At 37.0% G+C, this 25,290-nt stretch overlaps 1 protein-coding gene across 27 annotated transcripts in view; it reads right to left on the bottom strand.

The window, feature by feature from the left end:
* The window catches only part of PDE1C (phosphodiesterase 1C), an 811,448-nt gene that overhangs the window by 250,905 nt on the left and 535,253 nt on the right, over positions 1 to 25,290 (bottom strand). For all 27 annotated transcript variants that reach the window (XR_001744802.1, XR_001744803.1, XR_007060044.1 and 24 more), the window contains 4 exon segments: positions 13,066 to 13,179; positions 11,315 to 11,497; positions 10,289 to 10,355; positions 5,611 to 5,727 (listed from right to left, as the gene is read on the bottom strand). Coding sequence is in view for 21 of the 27 variants with exons in the window: in XM_047420443.1 (XP_047276399.1) it covers positions 5,611 to 5,727; positions 10,289 to 10,355; positions 11,315 to 11,497; positions 13,066 to 13,179 (481 nt within the window). In the remaining 6 variants the exon portion in view is untranslated.

Genomic DNA, 25,290 nt, shown 5'->3' on the forward strand with positions numbered 1-25,290 from the left:
CCACTGCTGCCACCACTGGCTCCTGAGCAAGCCACCTGGAAGCCCAAGAATCAGGCCTCTTGGATCTGCTAACACCAGTGCAAGTGTAGAACTCCCTGGGGCCCAAGGCATGGGACAGGCATGCTTGGCCCACCACTGCCACTACTGGGGCCCAAGGTCAGGCCCAACTGGCATCCCATCTCCAGTGAAACTTCACCACAGCCTCCACTAACAATTACACTCTAAGCTACTGAAGAAATCACGTACACTGCTGACACGGTTTACAGCCAAAGGAATCATACAAAGACTGCACTACTACACACAGCCAGAATTAAAGCCAAAGTTCTCTACTCAACCAACATCATAGATACTTCTTCAGGAAAAAGTCTTCCCATGTGAAAGCAAATTTTAAAAATGGAAATAAGTGACTGTTTAACAAGATGCAAAGATATTGACACAAGGACACAATAAACATTTATAAAGCAAGGAAATATGACACTTCCAAATGATTGACTAATTACCCAGCAAGAGACCCCAATCAAAATGAAATTTACGAAGTCTTGGATAAATAATTCAAATTATTGATTCTAAAGAAGCTCAGTGATATACAAGAGAATACATAAAAATAATACAAAGAAATCAAGAAAACAATTCAGGATATTAATGATAAATTTACCAAAGAGATAGCTATCATACAAATTAGCAAAGAGAAATTATGGAATGGAAGAATTCATTTAATGAAATACAAAATACATTTGAAACCTTCAACAGTAGACTAGACCAAGCAAGAAGAAAAAAGTTCAGAACTAGAAGACAGGTCTTCACAAAAAATGCAGTCTGGCAAAAATAAAGAAAAAAGAATAAACAAAGCCTATGTGGCGAATGGACCACCATTAAACAACCAAATATTTGCATTTTCAGGGTCCCCAAAAGCAAAGAGGAAACAAAAGAGTCAGAAAACCTATTTAACAAAATACTAGTGGAAAAATTCCCAAACGTAGCAATAGACTTAGACACCCAGACACAGGAAGCTCAAAGATTCCCAAACAGATACAATTCAAAAAGATCTCCACAGCACATTAGAGCCAAACTGTCAAAATCAAAGACAAAAAATTCTAAAAACAGCAAGAGAAAAACATGTAGTCACTTATAAGGAAACCTTCATCAGATGAACAGAAAATATCTCATTAGAAACCCTACAGGCAAAAAGATAATGGGATAATACAGTCAAAGTCCTAAAAGAAAAAAAAAAAAGCCAACCAAGGATGCTATATTGAGCAAAGGTATGCTTCATTAATGAAGGAGAAATAAAGCCTTTCCCACACAAGCAAATGCAGAGGGAATTCCTTATTACTTGACCAGACCTACAGTGAATGCTTAAGGGAGTCTTACGCCTGGAAACAGAGAAACAACATCTACCATCATGAAAATGCAAAAGGAAAAAACTCACTGGTAAAGCAAATACACAAATGAGGAAGAGAAAAGACCCAAATGTTACCACTACAGAAAACCACCAAACCACAATTATAAATAATAAGAATGTAAGAAAGGACATACAACACAATCTGAAATTAATTAATAAAATGACTGGAATAAGTCCTCACATATCAATAGCAACCTTGAATGTACATCAATTAAACTTCCCACTCAAAAAATAGACTAGCTAAATGGATTAAAAATAAATCCATGACCCAACTATATGTCGCCTATAAGAAACTCTTTTCACCTGTAAAGACACATGTAGACTGAAAAGAAAAAGACATAAAAAATATTCCATGCAAATGGAAATCAAAAGCAAGCAGGAGTAGCTATACTTATATCAGATAAAACAGACTTTAAGTCAAAAATGGTAAAAAGAGACAAAGAAAGTCATGGTATAATGAAAAAGGAATCAATTCAGCCAGAGGATATAACATTTCTAAACATACACACACCCAAAAGTGAAGCACCCAGATGTATAAAGCAAATATTACTAGACCTAAAGAAGAGAGAGACTCTAATACAATAATAGTTTGAGACTTCAGCACTCTATCATAGCATCAAACAGAACATCTATACAGAAAATCAACAAAGTTGGATTTAAACTTCACATTAGACCAAATGGACCTAATAGACACTTACAGAACATTTTATCCAACAGCTACAGAACACAAATTTTTCTCACCAACACAAAGAACATTTTCCAGCCTAGACCATATGTTAGGACACAAAATAAGTCTCAAAAAATTAAAAATCAAAATAATATCAAGTGTCTTCTCAGATCACAGTAAAATAAAACTAGAAATCAATAACAAGAGGAAATTTGGAAACTGAACAAATACACGGAAATTAAACATGTTCCTGATTTACCATTGGATTAAGAAAGAAATTAAGGAGAAAATAAAAATATTTTTAAGGCAAATGAAAATCTAAACATATCAAATGCTATGGAATACTGCAAAAGCAGTGCTAAAAGGGAAATTTTAGCAATAAATGTGTACATCCAAAAAGTAGAAAAATTCCAAATAAACAATCTAACACTGTACCTCAATGAAAAAGAAAGCAATATCAAACCAAACTGAAATTAGTAAAAAAACAAAATAATGAAGATCAGAGCAGAATTAAATGAAATAGAGACTAACAAAACAATGCAATGGAGCAATGAAATGAGAAAAGTTGTTTTTTTGAAAAGACAAACAAAATAAATAAATTGCTAGCTAGACTAACAAAGAAAAAAAAGAGAAGATCCAAATAAACAACATCAGAAGTGAAAAGGGAGATATTACAACTGATACCACAGAAACACAAAAGGTCATCAGAGACTATTATGAACAACTATGTACTAACAAACTGGAAAACTTAGAGGAAATGGATAAGTTCCTGGACACATACAACTTACCAAAATTGAATCATGAGGAAATTGAAAACCTGGACAGACCAATAATGAGTAATGAGTTTGAATCAGTAATACAAATTCTCCTGAAAAAGAGAAGTCTAGGACCAGATGGCTTCACTATCAAATTCCTCCAAACTTTCAAAGAAGGACTAACATCAGTTCTCCTCAAACTATTCCAAAAAATTGAGGGGCAATTTCTCCTTCTCCCTAACTAATTTTACATTGCCAGCATTTCCCTGATACCAAAACTGGACAAGGATGCAACAACAATAAATCAAAATTACAGGCCACTATCCTTGATCACACTACATAAATTCAAAATATGTTACAAGGCTATAGTAACCAAAACACTATATATTATTTTATGGTATTAGTATAAAATAGTATTTTATGGTATTAGTATAAAATAGTATTTTTAGTATACTTTTATGCTAATAGTATATTTTTATACTATTAGTATAAAAAATAGTATTTTCTGGTATTAGTATAAAAACAGACACACAGTCCAATGGAATAGAATAAGAAACCCATAAATAAATCCACGTATTTGCAGCTAACTGATTTTTGACAAAGGCACCAAAAACTTACAGAAAGGACCCCTTCTTCAAGAAATAACTCTGGGAAAATTGAATATCCATATATAGAAGAATAAAACTAGACATCCATCTCTCATCATATACAAAAATCAACTCAAAATCTATTACGGACTTAAACATAATACTCAAAACTATAAAACTACAAGAGAATAAAACACTTCAGGAAATTGGTCTAGGCAAAGATTTTATGGCTAACACCTCAAAAACACAGGCAATAAAAACAAAAATAGACAAATGGGACTATATTAAACTAAAAATCTTCTGCACAGGAAACAATCAACAGAGTAAAGAGACAACCTGTTAAACAGGAGAAATATCTGCAAAATATTCATCTGACAAGGGACTAATACCCAAAATGTACAGGAAACTCAAACAACTTGGTAAAAATAACAAATAATCCCATTAAAAAGTGGGCAAAGATATAGACATTTCTCAAATGAAGACATATAATGGACAATGGGTACATGAAAAAAATGCTCATTATCACTAATCATCAGGGAAATGAAAATCAAAAGCAAAATGAGATATCATCTTACCCCAGTAAGAATGGCTGTTATGGTTAAAAAAAAAAAAAAGATGCACTGGTGAGGATGTAGAGAAAAGGGAACACTTCTACAACGTTGGTGGGAATGTAAATTGGTACAGTCACTATGGAAAACAGTGTGCGGATTTCTCAAAAAAAAAATTCTAAAAGTAGAACTACCATGCAATCCAGCAATCTCACTACTGGGTATTTATTAAAAAAGAAAGAAAGAAAGAAAGAAATCAGTGTATCAAAGAGATATCTGCACCCTCATTTTTATTGCAGTACTATTCACAATAGCTAAGATATAGAATCAAGCTAAGTGTCCACCAGTGGATGAATGGATAAGGAAAACTTGGTATACAACCATAATGGAATACTATTCGGCCATAAAAAAGATGAAATCATGTCATTTGCAGCAACATGGATAGAATTGGAAGTTATTACATTAAGTGAAATAATCCAAGCATGGAAAGACAAACAGCACATGTTCTCACTCACATGTGAGAGCTAAAATTTGATCTTATGCAGTCAGAGAGTAGAATGATAGATACTGGAGGCTGGGATGTGTGTGGGGGTATAGGGGGTTGGTGATAAAGAGGGATTGGTTAATGGGTACGAACATACAGTTAGATAGAAGGATTAAAGTCTAATGTTCAGTAGCAGAATAGGGTGACTACAGTTAACAAGAATGTATTGTGCATTTCAAAATAGCTAGAAGAGAGGACTTGAAATGTTCCCAACACATAGAAATGATAAATAATGCGGGTAATGGACACCCCAAAAACCCTGACTTGATCATTACATAGTCTATGCGTGTAACAAAATATCACATGTACCCTATAAATATATACAATATTTGTACCAATTAAAAAACAGATACCTCTCCAAATACACAGTCCCTAGGAGAAAATAAAGAACCACATCTCCGGAGAAATCAATATGTGGTACAGAAAAAGACTTGTGTTTTCCAGAGGCTCATCCCTTTGATGAGGGAAGTCAGAGGAGCTTGATACCATAGATGTTGGCAGATGACTACATCAACTCCCTGAGGATCTGACCCCACCTCGAGAGTCTACAGTATTAGAAGGCTGTAGGGAGTTGAACACTGGAAATGATTCAAGTTCTTTATGTAAAGTTGAAGAATCAATTTGAAGCATGAATGGCTGGAAAATACCAATGACCTGTCACAGATGATAAGTGATAGTATTTGTCTGAATGAGCCAAGTGGTGGGAAAAAAAAAAGTTTACAGAGACAGCAGATGTTCACTCTGTCTCCACTACTGCCCCTCTGACAGCGTTGGTCAATAGGACACAAAGTCATGTGGAAATGAGACCTTTGGGCAGAGCCTGAAAGGGAGCTTGGTTATTACAGGCTTTGGGTTGTACTTCCAGGAAGACCAGAATCTAAATGGGTCTCTCCTGTCTCTCCCATGCCGCTGAGACCCACCAGCAAGGGCGCAATCAAAATCACCCTCCACAGAGGAATTCACAGCAGTGGCTATCCGAAGGATGCTTCCTCAGTCGCCTGGAGCAGTTTTCATTCCGCATATTAAAATAGTCTGAACCCAAAAGTCATATGAGGATAAACATATGCATGTAGTTTATTTATTTTTTCTTTTTAAAGAGGTACTGACCTTGAAACGGCTGATCAGATCATAACGTGTGAGTAGTTCATAGAAAATAAATTTCAGTGCATGATCCCCACTGGCCTCATTGAGGGAAAAGACGTCAAAGGACCACTTGTCCACATCCTGCAGGACAGGGTGGGGAGAAAGAACACATTAGCCCACAGACACTTACACACCTACCAGTCTCCTCACTTTCAAGTCCGCCTGCAGCCCTCACTGGAGATTTCACAGTGTGACACTCAAACAGACTTTCCACTCTCAAACTTTTTCCAATCTGGCTAGTCTACATAGTATCTACTGTTAAAAAAATTAAATAGTCTTATTACTAATACAAATAGCCATAATTTATTGAGTACCTACTGTATGACAGGCATTATGGTTGGTGATAAATATGTAAATTATCCTGAAAACAACTCTAAGTGATAGATATTAGTCGCATTTTATGGATAAGAAAACTGATAAATTACCTAATTTCCCTAACACCCAAGGTGCGTAAGTGCTAGAGATACAGGCAGGGCCAGAACACAAACATAGGTTGGATGCCTAAGATCAGTTGCTTTCCATTAAGCCCTGCAGCTGCTACTGTTTAATTCACTACAGCCTACGATGCTTCTCTTCTCTGAACTTCTCTGCAATCCCTTGACACTATCCAATGACTTCCTCTAAGTTTACAGTTAAGAATGTTAACTCATTTAGAAGTGTTCAGAAACATGCATGATGTAGAACACAAAACAATATGCCACATCAATCGAAACTGCTGAGCTGAAACCAAAAAGAAAGCATTCATTTCATATGACAGAAAAATGCTACCATTTCTGGAGTCACTAGTCTGGGATCTTGTCCTCAAATCTGTTAGTCACTTTACTGAAAAAAAGTAAAAGGAAAAACTAAACTGAACACACACCTTATATACCATCCCTGAAGTTCAAAGTCTTTGCCTGTAAATAGCTACTCCAAAATATATGTAAATACAGTCTGTTGAGCTTTGGCTTATCATAACCAACTTCTTGTGGATGTAGTAAACAAAGATTTATTTAAGCAATGGTTAAAGCAACAGTCATTTGGCTTTTCACAGCACCAAAATCTCACTTCCCGTGGTTAGGTGAAGCATATTCACTTGAGCTTGACAGCAAGGATTCACATGAGACCACACTGCCTACAGGCAAGGTGTCAGATGGTACACTGGCAGAGACCTTGGTTCTCATGAGTGACTCTCACCCCAGCCCTCACTGAATTCCAACATAATCCATCCATCCTAATTTTGTTCCTGACCAAACATTCCAACTGTCAAATTCATCCCAAGGCCATCAAGGGTCTCCCTCCTGGATGCTAATAAACTGTTTTCAGGGAAAATAGAATTGCATATAGGAAAATCAGACTTTTCCAGAGGGGTTTAAATTGAATTGTTCCAATTCACACTTAGTGGTAACCTCACTTAAGTCTTCAATAACTGCCCCTCCATTAAAATAACCAAAGAAATAGTGACAGGCACATTTCTGTGAGCACATTTTCTGTGCTAGGCACAGTGTGAGTGTTTACACGCATTTGCAAAACCTCGCAAGTCTAGAGATAGGTGTTACTTTCTCCAGTTTTATAGATGGCAACCTCAGAGAGATTAATTGAAATGTCTAGTGCCATAAGGTAGCAGAGCCAGGTAATAACCTCACCAATGACCCTTAATGATCTCACTGCCAACAGATGAAATTGTAAATGCCATGAATATGTGCTGTGACCCAGGCCTCATCCCTTTAATATCCCACTAGGGCGCAGGCTATAGACAGCAAGGACACTTAAGATTAACCTAAGACCTAAAGCTTTACCTTGGTTACTATCATTGGCACTGCCATGAGTCACATACATTGTCTTATCTTTAGTCCTAAGGAAAAAGTCACTGACAACTGAGTAGGCTGGAAAATGCTGTGTCACTTCTGACAATTTTTAATCCTAGTGTCCAGAAAGGAAAGGGCTCTCTATCACTAGAAATAAAGAGATTATCATGATAAAAAGCCAAGATTTATTCTGAATATCAGGACTTAGAGAACAAAGAGGATGAGCAAATAGAGACAGTGAGACGGATGTCCTCTTTGGTCCCTCATGTTAGGGAAGGCTTAGCTGTAATTCTCAGTCTAATGTTCTTCAGAACCAGTTGAGGGGCTTGGCCAAAATATGGACCCTCCAGTGGGGACTCCAGAGAATCCTGCTGTGGGGCCTGGAATCCGCATTTTTAACAAGTACCCAGTTTAACTGCCTTCAACCATTCTTCCTCATTCACCAAATTTTGCCCAAGGACACTTCCTGTAGAGAAATTGCAGGAACTTCCTGTTAGTCTAACACAAAGGAAGCGTGAACCTCCTCATCTCCTCCCACTTTAAGCCTGGAGTCTTTCCAAGGTGTCACTTCCTGAGTCACAAAACAGATGCCCTTCTAAAGAAGAGCACACAGCTACATTTCCATTAGGCTAATCTCAGAAGACAAGAGGTAGAACACCTCAAGTTAGAAGCTTACATCTATATATATATATATATATATATATATATATATATATATATAATGGAAAAAGTAAAATAACATAATGCAACATGTTTCAAATTTAGAGACTGATTCATTACTATCTTACTTAAATATCATTTTATGTCATGTTCTTACGTTAACCACAAAGGTTAACATGACAGTAGCATAAGGGTTATTTTAGGGAATTGTATTCTCTCAGTCTTTAGGGAAAATTTCTGTAATAAAAGAAAGCAGTAATGATTCCATATGAACTTCTGGCAATGAAGTGGAAATAATCTTTTTTCTAACATGTAGTACATAAAGAAAGAAACAAAAGAGTCTATATCTGTGATCGCTCCAACTCATTGCAAACAAAATCAGCCTCTGGAGAAGTGGAAAAAACATTACATTGTAAAAAGCTTTGAACTTCCCCAGTAAACAGGGGACATAGCCAAGAGAAATAGCAGCTTCAGCTTTAATGCACATATCAACAATATATGTGAGGAGAAGTAGCAATTTATTTAGAGAGCTAGTAGGTCTTCCTTATCTGAATAATCTAAGTACCTGTCCCCTCAGACAACATGTGTGCATCTGAGATTTTCTTTTCTCTAAGTATAAAATAACAATTCATGCACATCACAGTTTGTTCCAATTCTTTCTCAGTTATTCTGCATAGAAAAGAGGCTTCAATTTGGATAGAAAAGAGGCTTCAATTTGGAAGAAACATTTTCGTAAATGTCTTGGTACCAGTATACCCTCTTGTATTTATGTTCCCGATAAAGGAAAAAATTAAAGACAATAATGATGCTTTTAATGTTTCTAAGAGTTTGATTGAACATTCAGGTTCAATTATGAAAATTAATACAACTTCATAGTGGATGTTAAGAAATATCAGATTTCCTGAAGTGATTTCACTGATTAAAATGGGAAATATCACTGTACATTACACTGAAGTATTGGGCATCAGATTAGGGGTTAAAGAGGAATGGGAGAAAAGATACATCTTCTTGCTGGGTCCTTCCTGAGTATCCTTCCTGCTTTTAAGATTAGGTAAGAAGAGACGGAAAGGGTAGAGACAAACAAAGGAGAAATGAGAATCTGTGTATATATGGTCTCTCAAATTCAGCTAGTAAATGTCTCTGAGACAAGAGAAAGGCCTATGAATACATAATCAAGATTGTCCCAAGGGGCTCTTTCTTGACATTAAATTAATCAAGAAGCACTCCCCACCCCCTAACTCCATGAATAGGTAATTTAGCTTCTGAAAATATCACCTTTTTCAGGTTTTGGAGAAAGAAAACAATGGCTTTAGCAAAGGTCAAAATGCTACAATGTCCCTAAGCACATGGCCCAAGTCCATACATAGACAACATGTGATGTCAACAAACTCAGTGATCTTGGGCTACAGGATCAGCAACACATTGGAATCCAGAAGCCAAATCAAGTTTAGCAAATCTCAAATACCCTCAGACCAATGCCTTCAGGAATGCATCTGCTTTGGGGCTGCTGGAGATATTCTATACAATTCCAAGAACTTGCCTGACTAGAGGTAATTCTGCAGGATTTAGCCCATTTAAACTCAAGCATTTGTATGACTTCCATGGGAACATTTGGCTCAGTGAGAGTCTTTGGAAAACAATGGGCTATATAGATGGGACAAAGGCTCTCAGGCCATACGTTCATGCAGTAAAACATTACTAAGAGCTTACCATGTGCTGAAAACTCTGATATCAAACATTAGCTCTGTCTCTAATTAACTCTTTTTTTTTAAATCTTGCTGAGTCTCGGTTTCTTCATCTATAAAATGGACTTGGAGTAGGTAATCAGATAATGGGACAATTGCAAATACTGAAGATCCTCCTAATGCTGAATACTTACAGCCATAACATATTTGATCTCGTATGGCAAAATCAGATAACTCTCATAATGACAGATCACTGTATAAAATCTAAACTACTCTAGAGTACTAGAAAGAAATGAAACCCACACAGAGTTTGATTGTTTTTAAATTGGGAAGATGAAGGGTGAAAAGACAGTGATACTGTTAGAACAAATAATAAAAAGATAATGAAAGAATAAAGTCAGGAATAACTGGAAAAGTAACTGTAAATGAAAGCCTCTTATTTTCTAACAAATTTAACTCTACTTTTTATTAGGTACCATGTACATTGTAAAATCTTTTCACTCGTATTACCTTTAATGCCTCAATAACAGCTGGTGGATAGCTCAGTCCAACCATGTTTGATGTCCGTCTATACATTCTGAAAAGCCAAAAGGGAAAAATGCAACATGATATCTTATAAAGTAGGATTTGTAATCCACAGACTCATACCAAGTATTGACAAATAATAAGAAGTCAAGTGGGGTGATCCAAAGAACCTAAAATTCATTTTTTGACATTTTTAATATTCACTCAGGTGGTCTAAGTGTTAAATTCAAAAGAAATTAAAGCAATCCCAAACATATGAACCATGGGGGAAAAAAAACCTAACTCTATAGGCCCCAGACTGGAAATTGAATTATTAAATGGGTCACTTCTTCCGCCAGAGTGAATTATAGTACAGAATAGACAGTAAGCAGAGTAGTAATTTAGCCTGAATGAAGAACTCCTATGGGTAACCCATTTAGAATAGCTTGTTCTTTAGAACTGTCAAAAACAAGAAGGAAAAATGTCCCAGGTAATCTTTAAACTTACCGTGGTGTTTCTAAAATGTATAATTACACTATAAGGATTATAGGAAGAATATATCTATTTCTGGAATCTATTGCTGGGTAAGGAGGTCAATTTGATTTCAAAGAGTAAAATAGCTAATAAAACTGAAGTGTCTTGGGGACTTCAAACCACTGAAATGAACTGTCTTCCCTGGGCCAGCAACCTCAAAGCATCCCAGATCTGTTTCAAATGGAGACATCATCCACCTATTTCAAAAGATGATAGATGAGATGATTTCCTGCTTTAAAAATTAGAGACTGAACTCAAACTAAATCTTCTCTGGTAAACAAAAAAATTCTGAGCAAAAGCAAAAGCTTTTCCTAATGATGCTACAGAGATTAAAATAGATATGTTTTTGCCATTTCTCATTCAAGACTATCTGTTTCTACCCACAATTTTCAGTATTTATAAAGATAGGAAAACTACATTAAAGCAAAGCTTCCAGTTATTGGAAACGTGTTGCTTTGGCTGCTTTAGTCACTAAATGACAATGAATGACATCTTTACCTCTCCACAAATATCCCAGCCTGCACTGCGTGAACGATGCTCTTGAACCGGGGCTTCTCGTCGCTCCTCCTGAGCATCATCCCCATCTGCCGCGTGAAGGTGGAGGCCAGCCAGTCTCGGACCTCAGAAGGCACAGCATCTGACTGAATGTCACTGAGCTCATCCTCTGTATCCAGGAGTCTCCTGAACACAAGAAACAGAATCAGCACACTGAGATTAAATCTGAAGTTGGAGCTCTCTGTTCAAAGCAGCTGCTCCTCTCTGCCTCACCTGCATGTTAGGTGCAAAGAAACCAAATTAAATTGGCCACAAAAAATACAGTGCCTTTTTGGTAAGGCTTATGTAAGCTCGCCATGTGTGTTTCGCGATGGTCTTGGCTTCCACTGATATTTCAGGATGGTTCTCTCTACCAGACTGGACAAAGGAACTGGTCCATTGTACCCAGAAGCACTCTGTGGCATTTGAGTGAAATTTAAACCTTCTATTTAAAAATGCCTTCACAGGGAGCCTTGTATTATTTCATAGATGGACCATGTGACGTTATTTTGTTTAAAAATATAAATGGATACTTAAGAGACTTTGCAAAGTATTTACCAAATCACAGCAACCCAGTCCTCTGAAGTAGTGATCCTAAGTGATGACAATTAAGATTCTTTCCAGGTTGCTACCAAAATTTAAATGTCTAAATTCAAGGAAAATTTTCAAAATAATGCAGTTCTTTATTTGCGCACAATGATTTAATCATCTAATAGCTGTGTTTTGCTGATTTTTCAAACTTGTTCATAGGTCAGACCACTAGAATCGAACACAAAGAGCAATGTTAAAATAAAACCTAAAATAGCATGTCATATTTACAGTAAACCCAACTAAAAATCATCAGTAAAAGTAGCTGCCAATGTAAAGGTGTTTGGATTTTTTTTTTCCTTTAGACTTACCAATTGGGGTGGAGGTAAGCGGAGGAAACATAACATTTGGAAAAAAGCTATGATATCGAATTTCCTTAAATTAGAAACCAAGTGTGTCAGCAAAATAATAATAATAGTAAACCATACAAATCTTAGATTACTGTGAAATACTTTCAGATTGGAATTTGGCAAATAAAAGACATCACAAATACTGACAGAGAAGCCTGTCTAAATTAGGGGGAAAAAAAACCACACCTTTCGTATTCAACATTTCAACATTTTTCAAAAGAAATGCAATTTTATAACTTTCAAACGTATGTAGTAACTGAAACCGCTTTAATACGTTTAGATAATTCAAGTGGAATAAACCTGCTAAGTAAATCAGCGACATACGTAAGACTGAAGAGGGAATGCTGGGTGCTTAAGAGAACACATGCTTCTCGATCACTTCAGGAGCCTCCATTTACTAATGGACATTATGAATTAAAACATAAACTCAATTTTTAGACTAACACTAAAAACATACAATAATTACAATGGAGCTCTATATCTGATTTTTAAAATCTTAGTGGATTTTTAAAAATTCGTTTTTCTCCTCTTTCATGATCTCACTTCCTTGTCATGGCGGCCATATGAGATTTGTTCTATTAGCTCCTTTTATAGATGAGGCGGTACAGAGAGTAAGTGACTTGTCCAAATCTATCCTCTTTGTTTGTGGAAACTAAAACTCAAAGATGAGTAATTTGAATGTCACCCCATTCCTGGCATGGGGGACAATTTCAGAAAAGCCATTTAAGAGAAAATTTACTATCACTATACTAATCTCTTTTGTTATTTTTAGCTTACCTTGTTTCATCAATATACACAGATTCAAGCACTGTGGCTGCATATTCCAAATTCTTCTTAAGATCTACCACTGAAGCTTCCCCTCTCTCTAATTGTTTGACCAAAGACCGTAATCTAGAAAAATAAAAAGACATAATTTCATTAGAATAGAGGAAACAAAGAATAATCCTACAACTATGGTGATACATTTTACAGTCATCGAATATTCTCACTTATTCTGATACATCTGAAAGGAAAATAATTATGGGACCAAAGGAGCAGGTAATAAAATAAATGTATACATTTTTGCCATTGTGAAGTAAGAAGAAAAAATTTCTCTCCAACCAGGCACTGACCATACTTTCTAGCTAGCTTTTATCTTTATGAATCCTAAATTATCAATGATTTTGCTTTTTCTCAAATTTTCATCTTTTTTGTTCTATGTGGATGTAGTAAAGCCTGACCAGCAGCAAAATCACCAAATACCTCTTGAGATTCTGCTCTGTTGAAGGCACTTGGTCCAGCAGTGGCCCCAGATAATGGCAGCCCCATGACCCAGGCATGTCCCAAGACAGATGAAAACATATAAACCACTGAGAACCACAAGAGGGCTACAGAAGGAATAGATGAAAGTAAATTGTTTTACTGGACAGAAAAAATCACTCTGAGAGGAGATAAATACCCTAGTTAAAAAAGAAAAGAAAATATGAGGATTGATTTTAAACCGAGGAATTCCAGACTATACAAGAGAAGCAATAAAACATGTTTTTTCTGTTATTTATATGAACATTATCTGCACAGAGGACTTAGTATTCATGAGAACAATAAAATGACTACAGATGATCAACATGCGGTAACTGAGAATACTGTAAATACCACAGAGATTTGGAGATTGGGCAACTCTTCAGGCTGTTTGATAACCAGCAATGAAAAGAGTAGAGACTTTGAAGACGAACTGGGGTTTGAAGCTCACTTCATAACTTATTAGCTGTGCAACCCTAGGTAAGTTATGTAACATCTTTGAGTGTTATCTTAATGAAGAGCAAAGTATGAAATTTCTAAAGTTGACCTAAAGATTAAATGAAATTGATATAGAGTATGTGACTCGGTTGTTCTTTGAAAAGGCAATCGTTATAGCTATTGTCATTATTCAATGACTTTGATCACCACAGATAACCAAATGAGAAAAATTCTAGCAAGATATTTAAAATGATTGTCAAATCTCCACTTCCCGTTGGTATACGCAATCTGTTCTCACCTTCCTGACATCAAAATATCCTCAAATAGGTTGCCTTCATGGCAAGGTATAGACTACTCCCTTCCTGATTTGCATGAAAATGACCCACAATAAAGAATGAGAAAAAATCTTGGATCAACCTTAAAAAGTAAGCAAGAGGGTCAACCATAAAATAATTTCCAGGAGTTTCAATGATATAAAATACAAATAACATTAGATTCAGGTAGTATCTACCTGAATTACGAATCTGCAATATATCAAACGGAAATATGCAAAGGAAATCAGCAGAGGCCCCTGCAGGCTTGGAGGTGAAGGTCAGCCTTGGCAATGCCATTAGCAGCACTGGGAAGAGTTCTGAATTTCAGAGGCAGCACGAGACAGGGAGTTGGCAGGGAAGGGCATGCCAGTCACTCACACAGAAGGATAGCCAGCCTGCCAAAGAATGGGGAGACAGCAGCAGGGAGCTCTGACTGCTGCTCCAAATAAGGATTGGAAGCTCTTTAGCAAAACACATTCCTGGCTAAGTCTGCCTCCAGTTCTGATTCTCACCTCAAGGTGCCCAGCTATCCCCTAGGCTGTTTGGACTCCCAAACGAAAAAATGAGAGTAAAATTAAACTTTTCAAAGTTTAGTCTCAAAAATGAAAGTAAAATTAGACTTTTTAAAGTTTACTCTCAAACATAAGAGTAAAATTAAACTTCTTAAAAATGCCTCTCTCCATTTGGGGCTTACAGGTTCTATCAGGAACTGACATGTAACTCTAGTAGAATCCATCTCAATTCTAGAACCTAAGAGGAAATGACAAAAACCAAGAAAATGATGAGAAAAATTATAAGAGTAATAGAAGTAAAAGCCAGAAGATCCTATCTACCTATAATAGAACTTCCCTAGGAAATAAACAACAGAAGCAGCTTTAATTGAATAAGTTTTCCTAGGCTAAAGTAAAACCTGTATAAGCAGATGAAAAGGGATCAAATACAATTTTTTAAAAGTAAATGAAAACATCAAATGTATGCTACTGTAATTTTTGATTTCAAAGAATAAAGAAACAAACTTGAAAATCTTTGAGAAAATGAAATATAATACTTACAAAGTAACAAAAAATTGTCCTGGCCATCTACTTCTATCATGTCAAACATCAAAAAGCAATTTAATAACAGTACCAATTTTTGAGAATAATATGGGAAACTTCAAGACATTTATATCTACATCTACAGAGTTACCAAGTACATAAGAAGCCAATAAATACATTCTCAGGTGTCAACAACTTCAAAATTTATCATTCATATCCTTTCCAGAAAACAAAACAAAAACAAAAACTTTAAGCACAGTGGTCTTCCAAGGGAGTGAATTCGTGAGTCTCCAGTTAAATGGATTGTTGATTCATGACCTAGATTTAACTAACTCAAACTGTACCAAATGGACAAGTAATTTAAAAAGATTCTGGAAAGAAGAGACAGATAAAATAAAATGCTGATAATACAAGGACAACTAAACATGAAAATGAGCTGACACGTCTCCTTTTACTAGGACAATCTCCTATTTCTCATACAAACACTTCCTCTCCCACTTTTACAAACTAAAAGCTAATTCTCATCAGTTGAAAAATAATTGGAATTATTAAGGACATTATATGGACTATGGATGTATAGCCACTAATTTTTAACAATTCCCACTCCTGGGAAAGCACAGTATTGAGAGAATCAAGTCATGAAGGGGCCTCATATCACCTTGTGATCAGGGGGCTGGGACCCCAGGGCCAGAAGAGGAGTGGGGCCTTCAGGGAAAGCTTCACTTAGAATCTCACTCAGCTGTTCCAATGAGTAGCACTGAAATCGGCTCCATCAGGGAGACCCAGGCTTTGTGCCACAATTAGCAGAAAATCAGCCATTCAGAGGCTTCTCCCTGATGTAGTCACCAGTGGTGCCAGGCAGACATTAGGCAGTCACATTTATGCATTCAGTGTGAAGTTCTGACCCAACAGGAAGCTGTAAATAGAAAGCAAAACCCTAGCCAAGTGGTTTCAACAGATCCAGAGAGGAAATGACACAGAAATAATGCACCTTTTGGATGCGTGGGAGGCACTAGAAATTTATATGTAACCCTGTCTTTCCAGCTTATGAGATGAGCAGAAGATTCAATCAACTTCCTGGCAGACAGTGAGGGAACCTAGAACAACCCGTCACTCTGTTTATGGAAGAACACCCAGCTGACATTCACCTTTCTTTACTCAAGGATGATGAAACAGAAAAAAAATTCATGAAGAGATGCAGCAATAAAGACAGAAGAAAATACAGCATTCAAAATGTGAAAGGATTCACTTTTGAAAAAAAAAATCACTAATGGAAACAGAAGTGAATTTTAGGGAGCATCTGCTGTGTGTTCAATACAATTCAAAAAAAACCCATAGATCTCTGAAACAAAGGTAAAAGCCCAAATCAACACAATAAGAAGTTTCTTTAAAAAGAAAAAAACATGACAATAGAAAGACTACAAGAACTTATTGTTAAAAAGAGTTAAGTGGTGACCAGCTTTGTATATACCCATCTCCTGTTTGGGTGTCACCCATGTCAGATACAAGCTGCAGCTGCCAACTTTCTGCTTTATGTAGCTGCCACACAAAGCCTAGTGATTCCAGATGCCCCTTTCAAATTCTGTTGAGCTTTAGCATAGTGTTCAGGTGCTTATGCTCCATAGGCCCCTCAGCCCACCTTTCTCTAGCTCTTTATCCATTCCATTTGGAATATCCAGCCCTGCCCTGCCATATCCTACCTACCTCTTGGTGAAATGGCTATTCTTTGGGCAAAAGAGTTTCAAATTAGCTCTTTTATCATTGGCCAATTTAAGTTCATGAGAATAAGGACCCCTCTCTATTTGTCATTATAGTGAAGGTATTCCTTAGATCTTAATCTATCTTAAGAAGGGTTGTCTGAAAATTAGCCAGGATCTTTCATACCCATGTCATAAAGTATTTTTGTTCAACTGGAAAAGACTAGCTGAGGCCAGAGGGCTCAACTGCTCTTCTTTGTTTTCCTAGTAAAGTTGTCTAGATGCTTTTCATGTGAATCCATTCCATCTAAAAGGCAAATGTCCTCAGAGGCCAGGTCCCATGGTATGCTGCAGCCTATATTTTGGGAAAGATGGAGATCTGGTGTTTTAATACTACCCAGGGGAATTTTTGGTCTGGACACCTAAGGGGAATTTATTTCATGAGCATTTGAAATAAATTTACAAGGAAGGAAGATAAAGAAGTAGGAAAATATACAAATAATAATAATATTAATAAGATTTCTCTTCTGAGAGAATGAATGTTCATAGTTTCCAGCACTCCATCCATTTCTGTCACTGCAGCTGCCAGATAATAGTTCCAGTATAGAAGTGCAACACCATTTTAGGAAGTGCTTATGCCTTCCAACTTTGGCAAGATGCCTTTCAGTTAAGACAGTGTGCAATTTCATTGTGGATGAGCCATTGCATCTTTTCATGACTCTTGCATTTCTTGGCGTAAACTGTTTGCTTTCTGTATGCTTCTTACCTGCAAGGCATATGATGAGATACTGAATCTCTTCAGTTCCCTGTGCCCTCAGATCCAGAGCGAGCCCTGGATGCTGACTTCCCCTGACCCCACACCAATCAACATGTGGGATGCACAAAGGTGTTGGAAGAGGGGAACTATGTGAGGAAAGGCCAGAGCACTGTATTTTGTAATTTAAAAGGATGTTAGGGAGGAGAGATATTTCTTTTTTTTCCACAAAGATAATTCCTAGGACCAATGGAGTGAGCTTCATTAAAAAGCAACTTATTGGTTCAACTTTATAATTTAGAAAACTGCCTTATACTGGACTAGGCATTATTCCCCACCCCAGTGAGGTCGCAGAAAGCCCTATAACCCTATGCCTTGAAAACATATACATTTGTTGAGCATTAGACCCTACTAGAATTTCATTCTTTTGCACAAATAAAAATGAACTATAAAAAGAAGCTATGGAAACATACTTTCTCATGTTTGTCTATTCTGCCCAAGGTTATTCCCTCTGAGGATGGGGGGGCAGCTCCTAAAATGCCAGTGTAACCAACAAGTACTGCTGTCTCAGAAAGGCTTTGTTTTGTTTGAAAGGATATGAGAGAGAACTGGATCTTTTACAGTACTTTCTCTACATGTCCCAATGGATCATGAGCCCTAAAAACTCATTTGAATTAAAAAAACTTCATTTCAGTTCATCACACCCATGTATTCGAACAGCATACTCATCTCTGTGTCCTTTTCATACACCTGCCTCCTCCATGTCACTCCTGTCCTCTGCCACTTACCTAAATGCCATAGGAAATAACTTAAAACAACTCTTCCAAATGGGATGCCCCAACATGACTTTTAGTCTTATGCTTTAATGCCATCCAATGATGTCACCCAAGCATTTTTCTGGCCATTGTTTGTTTCTATAATTAATGACAGCTGATTAAGATGGCCACACTTGAAAAACATTCAACATTGGGTGTCTTTTGTGTGCAGGCACTGGGAGAGATAGGCTCTAGGAATACAAAGTGGGGAAATGCAGTGCCTTCTCTCAGGTAGGGAAGACAGAAAGCTAACCAGCACCCACAATGCAGTACTGTAAGCGAAATGGCAGAGGTGTGATGGGGGCTAAGAAAGCACAGAGGAGAGGAATCTTCTAATAACAAAGCCCTCCCCAGTGGAGTTGACCAGAGCCATTTTGAAGGCCACGTAGGGGTCAGCCAGGCACAGAGGATGGGATAGGGAAACGGCAGACTCTGCATGGAGAGAGCAGACTGAAGGCAGTGATCTATTCAGATCTATTCAGAATAGATCTTTTCGGATCTTTTCAGAATAGATCTTTTCGGATCTTTTCAGAATAGATCTTTTCGGATCTTTTCAGAATAGATCTATTCGGATCTATTCAGGGGCGTGTCAAAAGATAAAACAGAAGAAGGTAGGAACTACACCACAGTAGACTTAGAATCTCAAGCTAAAGAAATGTAATTTTCTCCTGGAGATAATGGGGAACCCCTGGAGAATGTTAAAATGGAGGAACAGAATGATGAGATTGGCATTTTAGAAAGATCAATCTAGCAGCTGAGTAGAGGAGCACACATAGTGAGTGAGATGGAAAATTCTATGTTTCCATTGTAATCAGGCTGGTCTGATACTCTGAACAGCACAGTGTGAATACTCTCTCTCACATGATGGAAATTTGATAGAGTGATGCGTGAGTTTAGTGGTAGTATGGATGGTTGCTTTTAAGAATTTCTGGGAAAGACATTGTTTTGGGGCATGCGGTTTCCTCATTGAGTGAACATCAAACCAAAAACAAGAACAGTGCCAACAAAAATTATGACTGGCAAGAATAGCCTACTTATGTAGCTTTTACCTTTTGTTAATGCTATAAATAAAAGAGAATTTTACTTCTACAGTTTCTAATTACATCTGCTTAAAGCAGATGCACACATGGATTGAAATAAATTACTGGACTCCAGTTACTTTTTCACTTAAGAAAAATAATTAGTACCTAGGTGCATACTTATGTTTCTATACTTTTATATGCCTCACTACATAACTTGTTAACTAAAAAAAAATTAGTAATGTTATAGAAGATTTTGAATAACGTCATGAACAAAATTGACCTAGTTGGCATGGACCGGACACTGCACTAAATTGCTGCAGAATGCACCATTCTTTTCAAGTGTACATGTAATAGTAATCAAAACTGACCATGTGCAGGGTCACAGAGACTCTCAATAAATTTCAAGTAATTGAACTCAGACAGATAATGTTCTGTGACAACAATGAAACACAATTTTGTTATTGATTAGAACCCAAAACAAAAAATGGCTAGAAATATTTCAAGTGTATGGAAATTTAGAAATAGATTTCTAAATAACCCATAGGTCAAAGGTTAAATCACAAAATAATTCTAACTGAACAATAACATACAGCCTTGTAGTATGCAGCTAAAGCAGTGTTTAGAGGAAAATGTGCAGCCTTAAATAAATATATTAGAAAAGGAGAAGTCTAGCCTGTAATCCCAGCACTTTGGGAGGCCAAGGCAGGTGGATCACGAGGTCAGGAGATCATACTGGCTAACATGGTGAAACCCTGTCTCTACTAAAAATACAAAAAAAATTAGCCGAGTGTGGTGGCAGGTGCCTGTAGTCCCAGCTACTTGGGAGGCTGAGGTAGGAGAATGGTGTGAACCTGGGAGGCAGAGCTTGCAGTGAGCCGAGATTGTGCCACTGCACTCCAGCCTGGGTGACAGAGCGAGACTCAGTCTCAAAAAAAAAAAAAAAAAAAAAAAAGAAAAGGAGAAGTCTAAAAATAAGTGATCTCGTTATGCACCTCAAGAAGTTAGAAGAACAAGTTACTCCAAAGACAGTAGGCAATAGCAAAAAATAAGCACAAAACCAAAACTTAAGTAGCAACAAACTCACAGCAGAAATAATTAGCAAAGCCAAAACCTGGGTCTTTGAAATGCTTAATAAAATGGATAGGTCAAGCAAGACTGATCAAGAAAAAAGAGAAATGATATAAATAACCAATATCAAGGATAAAAAGAGACTATTACTACAGATTCTGTGGACATTTAGAAAGGTAAAAGGATATCATAAATTCCTTTCTGAAGATACATTTAAAAATTTAGATGAAATTTTAAAATTCCATAAAATATTAATTTATCAAAATTGACATAAGAAAAAGGTAAACTATTAATAATTCTGTATCAGAATAATGATACAGAATTGTATCAGAGTAATTGATCTACTGAATATTGTATGGGAAGTCTTCACCAGTTCAACAAAGAAAGAAGAAATAATAGACATAGGACTGGAAAAAAATAATATCTTTAAAAAGCAGCAAATAAGTTATTCTAATTAAGAGGTGAATTTAGCAATGCCACTTGATAAACAGCAATAAACAATTAGAAAATGGTACCATTCACAGAAACATCAAAACGAAACAGTTTCTAGGAATAAATCTTACAAAATATATAAAATCATCTACATGGAAAATGGTAAGATATTATTGAGAGAAGTTTAAATGACCTAAATAATGGAAGAAGAATCCATGCTCATGAATTTTAACACTCAACATTTAGAAATATGAATTCTCCCTAAATTCACCTGTAGATTAAATTACAAACAAATTCACCACAAGTCATTTGGTGGAAACCGATTCTAAAATTTACTTAGAAATGTGAAGAATGAAATATAGTTGATGTGGTAAAACAACAAAACTGTTGTTACTATCCTACATATCAAGACTTATTATAAAGCATTTAATTCTGGTCCCATGTCCCTCTACCACTTCACTATTCCAACTCTCTTCCTTTCAACATCCAGCTGGTATGTGTGAGGATGTGCATATGTATTTTTATATTCATATAAGCACAACATAAGTGGACAAGAAAACATGCTACAAGAAAAAAGAAAACAGGCAATGTAAGTTGTTTTTGAACTATCCTATTCTACATGTGATTGTTCCATTCCACATGCAGGGACCCACTCTTTGGATACCCAGTCAAGGGCATCACTGCATACTCTGTCTTGGTTGCCATGGATTTTCTGATGAATATTTCCATTCCTTTGGTTTTCGTGAAGCTATGCCACAGAGGAGCCCTGCATGCTCAGTCTCCTCCTTGTTCTGCTCTACAGAGTGAATCTCCTTTGGGGATATATGTTTGTGGGTGTGAGAGTATGTGGGCAACTGTGTGTCCAAAGTGAGTGTGTCAGCTCACTGCATGGGAACACCAGCCAAAATGCACTGTCAAGTCCAAAAGAAGCCTTCTATTCTTATGGTACTCTAGAAGGTGTTACGACTCAGGGTTAAAGTTTTAATCCATTTTGAGCAATAATATTGACTTTGTTCCTTTGCACTTCTTATCAAATGCAGTACTTTAGAAAGGAGCTCCCTAACAGTCATTCTTGGCCTTATAAATAAGTGTTTCTTAAAAACCAGTTTATCCCCTGTTTTTATTGCCAATCAACTCACACATTTTGTTAAAAGGACATAGCGGATTTTTTTTTAGAGTAAGATTCCAAATTATGCTAAGAAAATCTTTCGTGAAGGTAAACATTCTCTCTCCAAAGTTTGTAGGCGAGCAGACCTTATTGGGAAAGGATGTTATTATGAAAACCCACTTGTTCTTCTGGGTGAAGAAATAAAAAAGAATGAAAAATACAACCCAGAGCATCATTCAGAATCCACCCCAGGCCATGCTGGGGACTGGGGAGAGGGAAGCAGTTAAGATCCTGACAGACTACCAAGAGGTAAGTTCCAGAAGCCAGTGTTCATTTGCAGCTATTCATGTGGAAAGAATCACTGTCACTTCTGCCTGCTGATAAACATGCCACTTCAACATCTGTCTTAATAGACCAAAGAAATGAGAAGAACTAAAAACATCTTTGAATGGCACTAATGAGAACAGGAAGCTGAGCAGAAATGAGAAGCAAGTTTGCAGGAAGATTTAGGAAGGTTGCAACCCATGCCTAGACACGTCAAGACACATCTTTCCATGTCTTCATAGTCAACCCGGTCCCGTGACTCCTTTGCTTTCCTTTTCTGAATTTAGTTCCTCATTCAACCTCAATTGCATCATGTTGGTATGATTATCCAGAGGAGCTAAAGCTCCCTCAGCCAGCAAAATCACAGGAATTCTACCATACTACAAATATAAGTTTTGGTAAGATAAACCTAAGGTTACATTTTTCTCATTTCTACTTCTTTTTTCTTTTATAATAACAGAAATAAATAAATTAATTCATAGATTAAAAACCTTCAAATAATGGCTAACAAGATGCTGAATTGGCACAGTTCCCTTTCTTAAGATTAACTCAAGAAAAATTATAGGAAAAAAACCTCAAAGAAAACCGTGAGAAACCTCTAAGGTGACCTGAGGCTGCCGCTTTGAATGTGTGTGTGAAGACAGTGCATCTTCTTGGTCTGGGACAGGAGGCAGCCCCACCACACTGGGGAGGAAATGATGGGAAAGGAACTGTTGGAGTCTGCTATTGTTTCCCTCCACTCCACTTCCTCCAGGCGCACAGTAGCTGCTCCCACACCTCCTGTGACTCAGAACTCTAAATGTCAAGAAATCCTGGAGAGCTAAATAGGGGTTGTCTGTCCCACCTTGTGGCTCCTCTAAGTTCACCATGGGTTTCCAAGATTGTCACAGAAGGAAAAGGGATGCAAAAGGACATGTGCGAGAGGTTTTTATGAACCAGACTGGAACTGGAACTGATTGCTCCTGGTCACTTCCAATTGTCCAGAAGCCATAGTCACCTAACTACGTCTTTCCAAGAGAGAAGCTGGAAAACACAGTCCTGTGGTAGGCTCAAGAGGAAGAGGTGGTGGTTTTAGTGGAGATCCAGCCAATCTCTGCCCCACCTAGAAAATGCAATCCTATCACCAATACTTGTTTTTTCCTTTAAACCTTTACTTTCTGCTCCTTTGAAAGAGTCAAATGGAATGTTGTATATTAAAGATACTTTCTAACTTTAAAATCCTTTAAAACTAAGAAACGTAATCATCCTAATTATCAGATAATCTCCCAAGCATTTTGACAAAAATGAGACAGTTCTCATGGGAATTATGTTGAGTGAAGAAAGCCAATCCCAAAAGGTTATATACTATATGATTCCATTTATGTAATATTCTTAAAATGGAGGACAAGATTAGGGGTTTACAGGGATTGGAGAGAAGGGAGAGGAAGAGGGAGACACGTGTAAGAAGGGCAACAAAGGGAACCTACTGGTGAACTATTCTATACCTTGACTGTGGTGGTGGTTGTACAAACCTACACTTGCAATTATGTTGCACAGAACCAAATGCATTCATACACACACACACACACACACACACACACACACACGTGAGTACAATAAAACTGGAGGGCTCTGAATAAGATTGGTAGATTATGCTAATATCAGTATCTTGGGTTGTGAAATTGTCCTGTAGTTTTTCAAAATGTTTCCATTGGAAGAAAATGGGTAAAGGGTACATGGGAATTCCTCTGTATTATTTCTTACAATAATGTGACTCTACAATTATCTCAAAATTAAACATTTAGTTTTAAAAAGTGGGACACAGTTATCCAGCTCAATGGAATATTGATGACAAAAGGCTGGACATAGTTGTCCTTTCCCCAGCTGGTTTTATAAGTGTCTCTCTGTTCTTAAATAGTGGTCTACTTAGTGTCCTCCAGATCCTTCGGCTTGGCCTCAGCAGCAGTAAGAGAGTTAGGGGTAAATGTTCACCAGTGAGCTACTAACTGTGTCTGATGACTTTGGAGAGCATCCAGTGAGGGCTATAATCAGTGATGCTTGGAGCTTGGTGAGAACCAGACTCATGCCTTGAGGAAACCCTGGGAAAGACAAATGGAGGTTCTCAGGATCAACTGAAGAAACTCAGATGCTAGCAAATGGTCACCACACTAAAACGGTGAGAGAAAAAGAATCCCAGTGACTTTACTAAAGGCTCACTAATTACACCTCTACTGGCAGTGATCCCCTGGGACTCTAAGATATGAAGCACGATTTGCATCTTCCCTCTCCTTTTTCAGTTCATTCTCAGAAGTTTGTTTCAATTTGAGGGTGGCTTCACTATGGCAGGCTGGCCATGAAGGGGTTGTAAAGAATGAAATTAATATACACACCCACACCCAACCTCTAGTAACCACCATTCTATGTTCTGCTTCTAAAAGTTTGATTTTTTTTTAGATCCTGAATATGAGAACATGTGGTATTTGTCTTTCTGTGTCTGGCTTATTTCACTTAGCATAATGTCCTCTAGGGAGTGAACAGGGAAAGGAGAGATGTTAATCAAAGGGTACAAAGTTCCAGTTACACAGAAGGAATAAGTTCTGGTAATCTGTTGCACAGCATGGTGACTATAGTGAAGAATAATATATTATGTATTTCAAAATTGCTAAAAGGGTAGATTTTAAATGTTCTCACCATAAAAAATGAGAAGTATGTGAGGTAATTGTTATGTTAATTAGATTG

The sequence above is a fragment of the Homo sapiens genome, chromosome 7 (genome assembly GCF_000001405.40).
Source record: "Homo sapiens chromosome 7, GRCh38.p14 Primary Assembly".
Taxonomy (NCBI): Eukaryota; Metazoa; Chordata; class Mammalia; order Primates; family Hominidae; genus Homo; species Homo sapiens.